Raw genomic sequence first — 14,092 nt, 5'->3', positions numbered from 1 at the left:
CTCATAGGGTGGTTGTGAGGACTGAATGAAATTAAAGACAAAGAAAGTATGCTGAGAACTCTAAAGTATCGTACAAATATGAGACAGCATGATTTATTATGGTATTATCCAATCTCTCTGGGACTCTGTTTCCCCATCTTTTAAATGCAGGGATTACAACAAATCAGTGTTTCTTAACCCCATTAAACATGTTCTCCTTTTTGATAGACACTAGCATCTTAAATTCCCTGGAGATTCTAACATGCCCCACCTTCCCTGAGAGATGCAGCCTGTCTGCCCACCTGTGTAGATCAGACAAGAAAAATTTAATTTTACATAGTTTTACTTTCTATAATTTGTATTGTGAAAATATTAATCTAACTACACATATCTCCATGGTGGCTCTGATATAACCTCCATCCCCTGAGAATGCCTGGGCTAGATGATGTCTCAAGTCCCTTTCAGCTCCGTCATCAGTGATTCTAAAGCAATTTGGGTGTAGCAACTGGTCTTGATGCCAGCAATTGCTCAGGACAGCCAGTAGAGGGCATGATGGAGCAAAGAATGACTTCGTATGCCAACGGTACCTCAGCGGCCTGGGAGGAACTAGGCTGGGTGATTATTTGGAGGCTGGGGAGGAGGCAGGGGAGAAGCTCCTCTTTGGGAGAGAGCCTATTTTGATTCTTACCATTCTTGACTTGAATTGCTGACCCTTGGCCCTGTAGATGCACCACAGCTGGCTGGCAGGATGAGAAGGATAGAGAGTAGTCACTATGAGTAATGGCTGCTTGCTCAGCCACCAGTCCCATGTTTCCATCCTGGTTTCTAGTCTTCTATTGTAATCCAATTCTGATCCCTCTCCCCTGTCTTGGGATGTTACTGACTACATTTCTACTAGAGGGTAATATGATTTTGTAGCTCTACCGCTTCCTAGCTATGTGACCTCAACCAAATGTAATGCCTCTGAGCCTCATTTCCCTAACTGTAAAATGGGGATTATAAGAATGTCTGGCCTCTCTCACAGGGATGTCTGAAGATCAAATGAGGTGATGGATATAAAATTGCCCTGCAAGCCGTCAAGCACTGTGCAGCTGTGTAGATTTATCACTGTGGCCACACAGCTGTAGCAAGGGAGGCTGAGATGAGACAAGGCAAGGCAGTAGAACCTGCCAATAGAGACAGATTAGGAAGCTCAAAGACTGGGAGGAGCTCTTCAGGCCATTAAGGCAGACGCCCAGGCTAGGCTGGGCCTGGAGCTGGTTGGCTGTTTTTCAAGGACATACTCTTCAACTCTTCAGCTCCGGATCCCAGGTGGTCTGAGAGCCGGCAAGGTGTCTGGGGTGGTTGGGGAGTTGGAGGCTCAGGTGAATAGGTCTGACTGGCAGCTTATTTCAGCTGACTACTGGGCCTGGCTATGGTGAACCTGGGGTCTCCTGTGGAATGAGGAAAAATGATCCTGGCAAGACACCCTTTCCTTAGCTAAAAACATGCCCTGGGGCAAAGCTTTTCTATTCATAGAGATGGGAGGGGGCTGTGAGTGAAAACCGTCAGAATCTCCGGGGTGTTCTCATGAAATAAAGCCTCAGGAAATCTAATAAGAAGCTAATTTAAAGGTGGCTCTAGCCTGTGGCTTTCCCTCCTACCCAGGAAGAGAGCAATCCCCAGCCAACCTGGTTTTCTCGAGTTCCAGCTTTATCAGCAGCACCTGCAAAATAGGATAGGACAATCAGAGGGCATAATCTTTTGACTTCCTTTTCCCCTCACCTGAGCAGCTAGTGGTGGTGAGCCATGCTCCCTGCAGCCAGCCCTGTCTGAGCTTTATTCTCCAGGGCTCAGAGCTGGAGGAAGAGTCAGAGTGCACCCCTTCTGTTTCCTGCCCTGACCTTCATCTTCAGTGGGCCCAGCACCCAGCAGGGAAACTTCTGAGTATTGCCTCTGGCCAATATTAGCCCAAGGCAAGCCCCACCGGGCACCCATGGAGAACAATGAGAGAGCATTCCCATCACTGTGTGACCCTGAGGCAATGGCATTGGCTTCTCTAGTGTTTTGCTCCCTTTCTATTAATTTTCTTCATAGAGCCCACTGCTATTTGTAAATATCTTGTTTCTTTGTTCTCTCTTCCTCTAGGAGATAAACTCTATAAGAAAAGGGACCATGTATCAATATATCTCTTTGTATACAGAAAGTGCTCAATATTTAAGGAATGATTGGTTGAAAAAAAATCTCTAACTCCATCTCTTGTGGCCATGGTAACACTGCTGAGCCCTGTGTGAAGTACAAGTTAAAGAATCTGAATCCTGCTGCAGAATTCTTGCCCCTGGAGAAATCAGCTGTAAGGGTCCATTTCTTTAAAGCCCCAAGATACAGGGCAGGGGAGTGAGGAGCAGGAGAAAGAAATAACAACTGACATTAGCCCAGGCAGTCTGACTCTTGTCAACTCCAATTAGGCAGGTTTGGATCTGCATTCATACCTTTCGGATGCCCTTCAGGGCTTAAGGAGAAAGATGCAAAGGGATGAAATGACATTTGAATGGCAAGTGTGGTAGGGTAAGGATCTAGTGCAAGAAGCACTTGGTTCCCGGACAGGACAGCCTTGGTGCCTGGGTTTGCTTCATCCACAGCCTGAGTGACTCTTAAGTTTCTAACTTCTTGACCATTAGTGACTACTTGCTATGGGAAAAGCACTTCAGACTTCACAAGATGAAACTATCCTAGGGCTTGTCATTTTGTTCAGTCCTCAACTTTCTACTCCATAGCCTATTTCTATGCAAACATCAGCATGTGGAGCTAGATGCTGGGAATCACAGAAGATTACATCTATTCCCCACTGGAACTCCTGTGAACCACCAGGGCCTCTGTCTCTGGCTCATATGAGTTTTACTGGTCCACTACAGGGAGGCCAAGAGTCAGGGAGGGCTTGTAACAGAAGGGTTGAGATGGGGCAAGAACAGGTGGCCTGTCCTTGACAGTTTGGTAGATATAAGAAGCTAGAGCAGGCCAGGCCCTACTGGCTTGTCCAATTCCTAGTTTTACACTGGGCTAGGAGATCTGCATCCCTTATTGCACACCAACCCCATCTCCACCGTTTGAAACTGCTCTCAGGATCACCCACTCCTGCTCTCCTAAAGTACTTTAAAGGCACCTGGTGGGGTGGAGAGACAGGGGAACTCACCAGAAGGTCCCTGGAGGCCAGGGGGTCCTTGAGGACCAGGAGGACCTGGAGGACCAGGTGGTCCCATAACAGTTGTTCCTGGAATTCCAGGAATCCCTGGAATTCCTGGGGGTCCCTGGGGTCCTGGAGGTCCTGGGGGTCCTGGAGGGCCATTGGGTCCAGGAGGTCCTGCTTTCTTTCCTGAAAAATAGGATTCAGTGTTACTTTTTTTTTTGAGACGGAGTCCTGCTCTGTTGCCCAGGCTGGAGTTCAGTGGCACGATCTCGGCTCACTGCAACCTCCACCTCCCGGGTTCAAGCGATTCTCCTGCCTCAGCCTCTGGAGTAACTGGGATTACAGGCGCGTGCCACCGCGACCTGCTAATTTTTGTATTTTTAGTAGAGACGGGGTTTCACCATGTCGGCCAGGTTGGTCTCAAACTCCTGACTTCGGGTGATCTGCCTGCCTCAGCCTCCCAAAATGCTGGGATTACAGGCGTGAGCCACCGCGCCTGGCCTCAGTGTTACATTTGTAGTTATTTCCTGTGATGAGTGTACTGTCAGGAGTTCTACAGACTTCTGAGGACACAAAGTCAGCTCTCTGGGAGGCCCTGCTAAAGAGTTGGATACCTTTATCACACATCTCTGTCTCCCTGTCTCCGTCTGTCTTATGCTTTCTCTCCCCTCCCCCCACTCCCTTTTGTGAATATGCATTTACAAAGCTAGGTTTGAGCATATAGAAATAAGTGGCCCTCCAGGAGATCAGTCTGTGTCTGTGGGGAAACAGACACAGTCATGGGATAGTAGAAGTGCTACCTTAGTGGGTAGGGACCAAATGCTGAAGAGGTCAGAGAAGGTTTCAAAAAGGAGGTTACATTTCAGCTGAGTCCAAAGGATGAGAATTTCTCTACCAAGTGATTAGACCTATGGGTCACTTTGTGGTTCTTTTTAGAAAGGGCTATTGTTGAAGAATGTGGAGCTTTTATGTTTACTGCCCAGTTTGGTGGACTTGATGTCGATAACAAGAGGAAGCCGTACAGCCTGGCCTTAGGAACAGTATCAGCTCCAGGAAGGTTCCTCCAGGAGTCAGGATGTACAGGAAATGGGGGTTGGGATGGGGACAGTGCTAGTCGGGAATGAGGAATGGGAAGGAGTTTTGGAGATGGGGGAATGGAGAAGGAGGAAGAGGGGCACGGAAAGAGGAGGAGGGAGAGAGAGAGATATTGAGAAACAGGAAAGAAGCAGAGACAGAGAGTAGAGGGAGCTGAGGAGGAGGCAGCAAGTTTCACTCTCTCAGCTGACCTCTGTAAACTCTATTTTAAAAGATCTCTGGGAAAGGAAATTCTGCAAACTCCATAGTAACATGTTCCAATGTTTATTGCCCCTCACTGCTCACTGTTAGGAAGTTCTCTGGTATATTAAATGATGTCCCTCTTGTGGCAGTTTAAGCTCTTATTCTATTTGTGTAGACAGAGAAGAATATACATATACATAATAATCCTTATATATGAAAAGAAATTAAGTTACCCACCAACCCCTATTTCTATAGGCTAAATAATCCAGCTTCCCAAAGTCTTTCCTCAGAAGTCCCATTCTCAAATGTATTATTAATCATGCCCACCAACTCTTCCCCCTTTCCTCCTTGCTATCCTTCTAGAACAATCTCGACCCTCCTATTTCATATTCCAGTCCTTTCAACATTCCCACCAGGATGTAGTTATCTTAAATGAGTCATAACTGTGGTCTTGAACCAAAACCTCCAGCTCTTCCTGTTGACTTCCTCTGCTCTGTGCAGCTCCACTCAAAGACTACATGTAGGCACAGGTCTTCTTCCTTCCTTCACCACCTTCTCACAATTTTATGGAAAGTTTCAGGAATGGAAGCCTGTTTCCAGACTTCATCACAATGTCTTCACCTGAGGTAGTTTCTTAGTTTTAAATACAACCTTCTCTAGTCTCACTAAAAACCTTCTTACTGACTCTGACTTCTTGCTCCCCAGACACTTAGGCAGGAGAATCTTGTCCTGATTTATCAGGTCCTCCCTTAAGAACAATGCCTCATGGCCAAGAAACCCAATCCTCATGGCAATGCCACTCAAGAGGCCATTTGTCTATGTCTAACCACATCTGCATTTGGAATGAAACCATGGGGTCATCGTGGGGTCTCTTCCTCAGAAAGGAAGGAAAGGAAGGTCCAGAGAACATCTCTCCCAGAAGAGTCCCTGTAGCCTTAAAGACCTAGAGGCATGAGCTTTAGAGGTTTCTCTGCACTTAGCAGCAAAAGATTGGATCTGCCCCGTTTCTAGATCTAGCCAATTTCAAGATGCTGAACAGGAAAACCATCTCCTTTCAGATTTGGGCAGCTTCCAAATCAGGCTTATTCAGAGCCCAAGTTTCAATTCCAGCTAGTGTAGTGGAAAGAACACAAAATCTGTACTCAGGAGATAAGGATGTAAGCCCCAGCTCTGCCACAGACACACTTTGGGCAAATCCCTTCCTCTCCTTGAGCCTTAGTTTCTACATCTGTGAAACAAGGAGCTTGGCCTCAATGATTTCTCTGTTTCCTCATGAGACTGAGTTTCTATAAGGAGGGGTGGCTTACCCCTTGCAGTCAGGAAGCTTTCTTAGCCTGGTTGTAAGGTTTGCTTCTCCCTCCTTATTTTCTAGGTGGCACAGACACAGAAGTTGGTGCATATTAGGCTGTCCTGTGTTCCAAGATTTCCAAGCCTAACAGTGATTTTCAAGCTAGAGGGTGTTCTGTGGGTAGCACAAACTTCACCTTCAAGAATGTGAGTCTCCTGTAATTGCTAATGTAATTTTGGAAGAATTAGAGCCAGAAACTCCTCCAGTCCAAGAGACTAATGGTTGCAGTGAAAACAGAGAATGTTCACTTATGAAAATGTTAGAAGGCATTTGAGAAAAAAAAAAACTCCTGCTTTGTTCCAGTTCTGCAGCTGGTCCTCTGCTTCTCTGCAACAAGGGTTAGGCAAGTGAGCTTCTCACACTTGCATACTTACACAAAGTTGGGCCCAGAGAAGAGAATGTACAAAATGACCCCTGGAGCAAGAGGATAACTTCAGAGGATTGACTCCCTTCTCTCGATTTCCTTACTTTAACAGAACACCTCATGATATAAAAGCCCAGAGACGTTTGTACTTAGAAACATACCCTATGTAGTGTTAGATGAAAGAATATACACATTCCTTTCAAAGCTAAACTTCATCAAAGGAGTATTTCCTTAACCTTTTAGCTAAGCCCAAAATCAAAGAACAACCAAAAGTGAGTGAATGAGTGAGTGAGAGAGAGTTGTGGAAGGAGGAAAATTCCATTAAAGGGTGAAAATTAAGAGAACAATTCAATTTACCTCTTCAAGCATGTGCCTATTCACCATGTCCAAGGAAATCCATATTAAATGGCTTCTAAATAACTTTCAGCCAAAGTAAATGTTTAAAGCCTATGTGCACTGTCTTCTCAATAATGTCCCGTACACAAGGTAGCAGTGCCAGGCAATGATCTGAGTTATAATTTCTGTTTTAAAGGGATATGACAAGAGTTAAGAACTACATGTTTGAAAATCAAATCTACTTTCTTAAAAGACAGAATATCTTGGTGGTAAGTGCCCAGGCCCCACAGGGAAAGGTTTCCTCACTGACTCCAGCTCCCTGGCTGTTTTCCAGCCTTGCTCAGTTCAGGCCCTCAGGAGGCCAGGCCATTCCTCAGCTTCTTTACAACAGGCACACAACTTTTCCATGTGGACTATGATACCTCAAGGCACCAGAGTACCCTAGTGTTCAAAGAAGTGGCAGACTGCAGCTGAAGCCAGTCTTTTTGGCCTAGTCCGGGGTTGACAATCTATTCTATAAAGCTCCATAAATCTTATCACACAGCATCATTTCACTTAAAGCATTTTAATGAACAATCATTAGTTTTACTCTGTCTTCCTCCCAGGTCAGAACCCAGAAACAAACAGGTGCTTTAACTAGTTTCATAATTGGTTCTTTCAGTCCTAAGAAGTAGACCATATTGCCTGGCCCTGTCTTTGGAGACTGTTCTGTCTTTGGATTGATTCTCCTCTTTTAGTAAGTGAGCACTTGTAGATGCCCTAGGGCCAGTTTCATTGCAAGTACACTGGGGACTTACTGACCCAACAACGGCACAATGGAAGCTGCTTTGAAAAGACTAAATGGTCAGGGTACTACTCCAGAATAGCTTTTTCATTACAGAGAAAATGATATTGAATCCTCAAAGCAAGAAATACCTTCCCTGACTCTTTGGGAAATCAAATCAGGGAAGCTTTAAGTCCAAGAAATAGGGTACTGACATCTTTTGATAGGTAGCGTATCTAGTTCCTACATGGTGACACAGGATTTCATTCACACTCAATCACTGATTTGATAAAGGAGGAAAAAAAGGATAAAAGCGAGTGCCTGTAATCCCAGCTACTCAGGAGGCTGAGGCAAGAGAATCGCTTGAACCCCAAAGGTGGAGGTTTCAGTGAGCTAAGATTGCATCATTACATTCCAGCCTGGGCAACAAGAGTGAAACTCCGTCTCAAAAAAAAAAAAAAAAAAAAAAAAAAAAGAATAAAAAGAAGGGCAGGGAGAAGAACAAGGAAGAATGAAAGAGGTGAATCATCACTGAAGAATGATTTCTTGTTCTTCAGAAACTACAATACTCAAGAAGATAACATATGATTGAATAAAATAACAGACAGACAATGCTGAAAGAATATAATACAAAAATCGCACTCTTGATTTTTTTCTTCTAACTTTAGAAAATATATGACAAGACAGCAATTTTATAAAGTCAGGAACTTACCCTTTTTCTTGTTTTTAACTGGGCCTATAAGAAAAATAAAATAGATAATTAAGTCATTGGAAATGAACAGAAAATGTTTATTTTCTAAGATAGTCACTAGGAGGGATCCCCAAGACACTGCAAATTTGAGGGAGTCTCACAGCCAAGGGTCAGGCTTTTGGCAAGGATCCAACTATCAAACCTCCCCATTCTGTCTTCTGACTCCTGAGGCCACAAAAGTTTCAAGGAAGATTCTTCCCTAGGGAGAAAAATCTCTCTACTTCAGTCTTTGGGGTGAGGGAATGGGTACTTCCCCATAGAGATGAAATGCCCAGAAATGCACAACTCAACAACCTTAGGACAGCATTCCATTAATTCTGCAAGTCCTGAGGTTGAAGAGTCATGCGTTCAGGTGAGAATCTGATATGAAGTCTCGTGTTGAACTTGGAAGGAGCAAAGGGTCATTTTCATGGAAAGAGCAGAGCAGCAGTGTTTAACTTTTAGTCACTTCCTTATCATGATTTAATTTGTTACTTATTAAAAGTTTGACCATAATACACTCTTGAGGGCCACATGCATTTCCATTGTAATTTACTATAAGTTAATGGACACTTTAAAAGAAATGTCGGCCGGGGGTGGTGGCTCACACCTGTAATCCCAGCACTTTGGGAGGCCGAGGCGGGTGGATCACGAGGTCAGGAGATCAAGACCATCCTGGCTAACACAGTGAAACCTCGTCTCTACTAAAAACACAAAAAATTAGCTGGGCGTGGTGGTGGGCGCCTGTAGTCCCAGCTACTTGGAAGGCTGAGCCAGGAGAATGGCGTGAACCTGGGAGGTGGAGCTTGCAGTGAACCAAGATCACGCTCTACACTCCAGCCTGGGTGACAGAGCGAGACTCCATCTCAAAAATAAATAAATAAATAAAATAAAATAAAATAAAATAAAATAAGACATGTCAACCATTTCATTGGCAGTGAAATCACAAGCATTTTATTGGAAATTACTTCTAAGGAAAATAATTCTAATCAATTGAAGGTACTTAGAAAACCCAAGGTGTTTCTAACATAGTTAGGTGACCGCAACTCCCCAAACAGTTTAGGTCGCTCCCAGACAGTCATTTTTTTTTTCCCTTCTAGGAAATAAATTCTCTTCATTCTGTATACGGATTTGACTTTCTTTAAATACAGGTATTTAAAATCTGTTCCAAACTGCCATGAAGACACAGTTATACATTAAACCACTGTCAGTGCCCTCAAGAGCTTACAAAAGGAACACCAAGCATTTCAATATTATAGTTTATAAAACATATTTCCATTTATCATCTCATTTGATATTTGCAACAAACGTGGAATGATCTCTAACTATAAGAGCAGGCCCTATTAGAGATCAGTAAAGTCTCTAACCTGGAGGGCTGCCAGAGTGGCCATCAGAGCTTTCACAGGTCCCTTGAAAAACCAATGTCTGTGTAGACTTTTCTGGCAAAGTAATTTCATGTGCAACAGTAGCTATTGTTATGTCCAGGGGATGTTTTAGATTGGAGCAACCTGCTGTACTTAAGGTCATGAATCTCAATTCTCTTTTCCTTCTCTCTTCTCCTCTCCTCTCCTCCCAGTTCTTTGTCTTCTTTCTTTGTTACCCATCCTTTATGAATTTTTTTTTTAACAGCATTGCGAGTTCTTGAAAATGTGCTTGGAAGTTCTGAGAGGAAAGCACAACTACATAGACATTAATGATATGAGGCAGCGACTCAACCTGAGAAACGCCTTTTTCTTGAACAAGAAAGCTGTTTGGGGAAAGATTTACACAGAAAGGGCTCAGCTCTATCAGCCAGCTAGCCACCACAGCCTAGGAGAGTAGTAGGAAGACAGCCATTATGGCTACCCTGCCCTCTTTGCAAAGGTGTGCTGGCCCGGACCAAGTTTTTGACCGTTTCAGCTGGTTAAGGGTAAGCACTGTTATATCAGACTTCAAAAGCAGACTTTGAAGAAATCAGGCCATCACCAGCCAACCAGTCCTTACAGAGTATGTGTATGGAAGGCAGTAAATAATGAAACGCAACTCACAACTCTACCTTCAAGAACTTACAGTTGAATAGGGAAATACAAAAGATGAGGGAGTGGCTTCAGGAATTATACTGGCCACTTAAGGGGAACAAATAGCTTCCTGGAGAAGGTCTGACTTAAATCCACAAGTGAAAAGAGAGAAATGGAAATTTTAAAATCTTTTTAAGCTTCTATTATTTTCATACAAAATATACCTACTCCTTACACATACATAAACGCATGCATACATACGTATATACATACAAAAGAGGAGCAAAAGGAAAAAGAGCTTATTAAAGCACCCCCAAATAATCACTACTAACATTTCATGCACATCTAGAAGTCTTCTATGTATATAAATAGGTATTTTTACAAAATGGGATCAGATGAAAAATGTCATTTGATAACCTTTTTTATGTCAATAACTACATTTTTACATTGTAATTTTTAATATGGATGCATCAGCGTTTAATCATCTTTGATAAATATTTAGATTGGGTCCAGTTTTTCACTATTATAAACAATGATGTACATTTATAAACAATGTATGTTTATAAGCAATTTATATGTACATTTTATAAACAATTTATATGTACATTTATAAACAATTTATATGTTATGTACATTTATAAACAATGATGTACTTTTTTTTTTTTTTTGAGACGGAGTCTCGCTCTGTCGCGCAGGCTGGAGTGTAGTGGTGCGATCTTGGCTCACTGCAAACTCTGCCTCCCGGGTTCACGCCATTCTCCTGTCTCAGCCTCCCGAGTAGCTGGGACTACAGGCACCCGCCACCACGCCCGGCTAATTTTTTGTATTTTTTTAGTAGAGATGGGGTTTCACTGTGTTAGCCAGGATGGTCTCTATCTCCTGACCTCGTGATCCGCCTGCCTCGGCCTCCCAAAGTGCTGGGATTACAGGCGTGAGCCACTGCACCCGGCCCCACATATGTACATTTTTATACACTTGTCCAAAGGTTTTTTAGGATGTGTCATTAGAAATGACACTGTTGGGTCAAAGGGTGTGAAAAGCTTTCCTTACATGTAGTTAAACCTAATAATCTTTTCCTATATGGTTACTGCCTTCAGTGTCATGCTTACTTAGGCCTTCCCTAATGTGATATTATAGGTAACTCTTTATATATTTTCTAGTTCTTTTATGGTTTCATTTTTATTTTTAAATCTACAATTAATCTGGTATAGATTTTGGCATACAGTGTAAGACAAAGAGTTAACTAAAATTTTTATATTTTTTCCCTAAAATGCCCATGACATGAAGAGTACCAACAGAAACAGGGCTCAAAGTCATTTCTTAAACTTTTATTTTAGTTTCTGGGGTACATGTGCAGGTTGGTCCTATAGATAAACTGTGTGTCACAGGGGTTTGGTGTATATATTATTTCATCACCCAGGTAATAAACGTAGTACCCAATAAGTAGTTTTTTGATCTTCACCCTCCTCCCACTCTCCACTCGCAAGAAGGCCCTGGTGTCTATTGTTCCCCTCTTTGTGTCCATATGTATTCAATGTGTAGCTCCCACTTATAAGTGAGAAGATGTAGCATTTGGTTTTCTGTCCCTGCATTAGTTTGCTTGGGATTACAGCCTCCAGGTCCATCCATGTTGCTGCAAAGAACATGATCTCATTCTTTTTTATGGCTGCATATTATTCCATGACATGTATGTACATTTTCTTTATCCAGTCTACTGTGCTGCATAGTATTCCATGACATGTACGTACATTTTCTTTATCCAGTCTACCGTTGATGGTCATCTAGGCTGATTCCACATCTTTGCTATTGTGAAGAGTGCTGCCATGAACATACATGTGCATGTGTCTTTATGGTAGAACAATTTATATTCTTTTGTGTATATACCCAATAATGAGATTGCTGGGTTGCATGCTAATTCTGCTTTAAGTTCTTTGAGGAATCACCGCACTGCTTTCCACAATGGCTGGACTAATTTACACTCCCACCAGAAGTATATAAGTGTTCCTTTTTCTCCACAATTTCACCAGCATCTCTTATTTTTTGATTTTTTTAGTAATAGCCATTCTGACTGGTGTGAGATGGTATCTCATTTAGTTTTGATTTATATTTCTCTAATGATCAGTGATGCTGAGCATTTTTTCATGTGCTTACTGCTCATGTATATGTCTTCTTTTGAAAAGTGTCTGTTTATGTCCTTTGCCCACTCTTTAATGGGGTTGCTTGTTTTTTTGCTTGTATATTTGTTTAAGTTTCTTATAGATACTGGATATATCTTTGTCAGATACATTGTTTGCAAATATTTTCTCCATTCTTTGGGTTGTCTGTTTACTCTGTTGATAGCTTCTTTTGCTGTTTTGCTATGCAGGAGCTCTTTAGTTTAATTAGGTCCCATTTGTCAATTTTTGTTTTTGTTGCAATTGCTTTTCATGTCTCTGTCATAAATTTTTTTCCAGGGTCTATGTCTAGAATGGTATTTCCTAGATTTTCCTCAAGGGTTTTTATAGTTTTGGGTTTTAAATTTAAGGATTTAATCCACCTTGAGTTAATTTTTGTATATGGTGTAAGGAAGGGGCCCAGTTTCAATTATCTCTGCTTATGGCTAGCCAGCTATCCCAGCACCATTTATTGAATAGTAAGTCCTTTCTAGATCGTTTGTTTTTGTTAATTTTGTCAAAGATCAGATGGTCATAGGTGTGTGACATTATTTCTGGGCTACCTATTCTATTCCATTGTTCGATCTGTACCATACTGTTTTGGGTATTGCAGCCTTAACATATAGTTTGAAGTCAGGTAATATGATGCCTCCAGCTTTGTTCTACTTGCTTTGGATTGCCTTGGCTATTCAGGCTCTTTTTTGGTTCCATATGAATTTTAAAATAGTTTTTTCTAGTTTTGTGAAGAATGTCATTGGTAGTTTGATAACAATAGCATTGAATCTGTAAATTTCTTTGGGTATTATGACCATTTTGACAATATTGATTCTTCTGACGCATAAACATGGAATGTTTTTTCCATTTGTTTGTGTCATCTCTGATTTCTGTGAGCAGTGCTTTGTAATTCTCAGTGTAGAGGTCTTTCACCCCTTGTTTAGCTGTATTCCTAGGTATTTTATTCTTTTTGGGCTGTTGTGAATGGGACTGCATTCTTGTTTTGGCTCTCAGCTTGGATGTTGCTGGTGTATAGGAATGCTACTAATTTTTGTACATTGATTTTATATCCTGAAACTTGCTGGAGTTGTTTATCAGATCAAGGAGCTTTTGGGCAGAGACTATGGGGGTTTTCTAGGTATAGAATCATATTGTCTGCAAAGAGGGATAGTTTGACTTCTTCTCTTCCTATTTGGATGCCTTTTATTTCTTTCTCTTGCTCGATTGCTGTGGCTAGTAGTTCCAATACTGTGTTGAATGGGAGTGGTGAGAGAGGGCATCCTTGTCTTGTTCTGGTTCTCAATAAGAATGCTTCCAGCTTTTGCCCATTCAGTATGATGTTGGCTGTGGGTTTGTCATAAATGGCTCTTATTATTTTAAAGTACGTTCCTTCAATGCCTAGTTTGTTGAGGATTTTTAACATGAAGTGGTGCTGTATTTTCTTGAAAGCCTTTTCTGCATCTATTGAGATGATTATGTGGTTGTTGTTTTTAGTTTTGTTTAGGTGGTGAATAATTTTTATTGATTTACGTACATTGAACAAACCTTGCATTCCAGGGATAAAGCCTACTTGATTGTGGTGGCTTAGCTTTTTTGAGGTGCTGCTAGATTCAGTTTGCTAGTATTGTGTTGAGGATTTTTGCTTTTATGTTCAACAAGGATATTGGCCTGAAGTTTTTTTTGTCTCTGCCAAGTTTTGGTAGCAGGATGATGCTGGCCTCAGAGTGAGTTAGGGGGAAGCCCCTCCTCCTCAACTTTTTGGAATAGGTTCAGTAGGAATGGTACCAACTCTTCTATGTACATCTGGTAGAATTTGGCTGTGAATCCACCTGGTCCTGTGCTTTTTAGTTTCTTAGCAGGCTATTTATTACTGAGTCAATTTTGGAGCTCATTATTGGTCTGTTCAGGGATTCAATTTCTTCCTGGCTCAGTCTCAGGAGGTTGTATGTTTCCAGGAATTTATCAGTTTCTTCTAGGTTTTCTA

General features: G+C 42.0%; 1 protein-coding gene and 1 non-coding gene across 7 annotated transcripts in view; both read right to left on the bottom strand.

Annotated features, from left to right (window-relative positions):
- EDA (ectodysplasin A) overlaps positions 1-14,092 on the bottom strand; it is a 423,360-nt gene that overhangs the window by 8,285 nt on the left and 400,983 nt on the right. For all 6 annotated transcript variants that reach the window (NM_001399.5, NM_001005609.2, NM_001440762.1 and 3 more), the window contains exons 3-6: positions 7,947-7,970; positions 3,152-3,331; positions 1,650-1,684; positions 668-719 (exon numbers count right to left, since the gene is read on the bottom strand). In NM_001399.5, the coding sequence (NP_001390.1) occupies positions 668-719; positions 1,650-1,684; positions 3,152-3,331; positions 7,947-7,970 (291 nt within the window). The remainder of the gene's footprint in view (positions 1-667; positions 720-1,649; positions 1,685-3,151; positions 3,332-7,946; positions 7,971-14,092) is intronic.
- On the bottom strand, positions 8,265-8,331 carry MIR676 (microRNA 676). Its single transcript, NR_037494.1, has one exon. It is a non-coding gene; the product is annotated as a microRNA 676 (primary transcript).

The sequence above is a fragment of the Homo sapiens genome, chromosome X (genome assembly GCF_000001405.40).
Source record: "Homo sapiens chromosome X, GRCh38.p14 Primary Assembly".
NCBI classification, from domain to species: Eukaryota; Metazoa; Chordata; class Mammalia; order Primates; family Hominidae; genus Homo; species Homo sapiens.
Note: the sequence above shows the minus strand (reverse complement) of the source record. Positions and strands in the feature narration are given on the sequence as shown.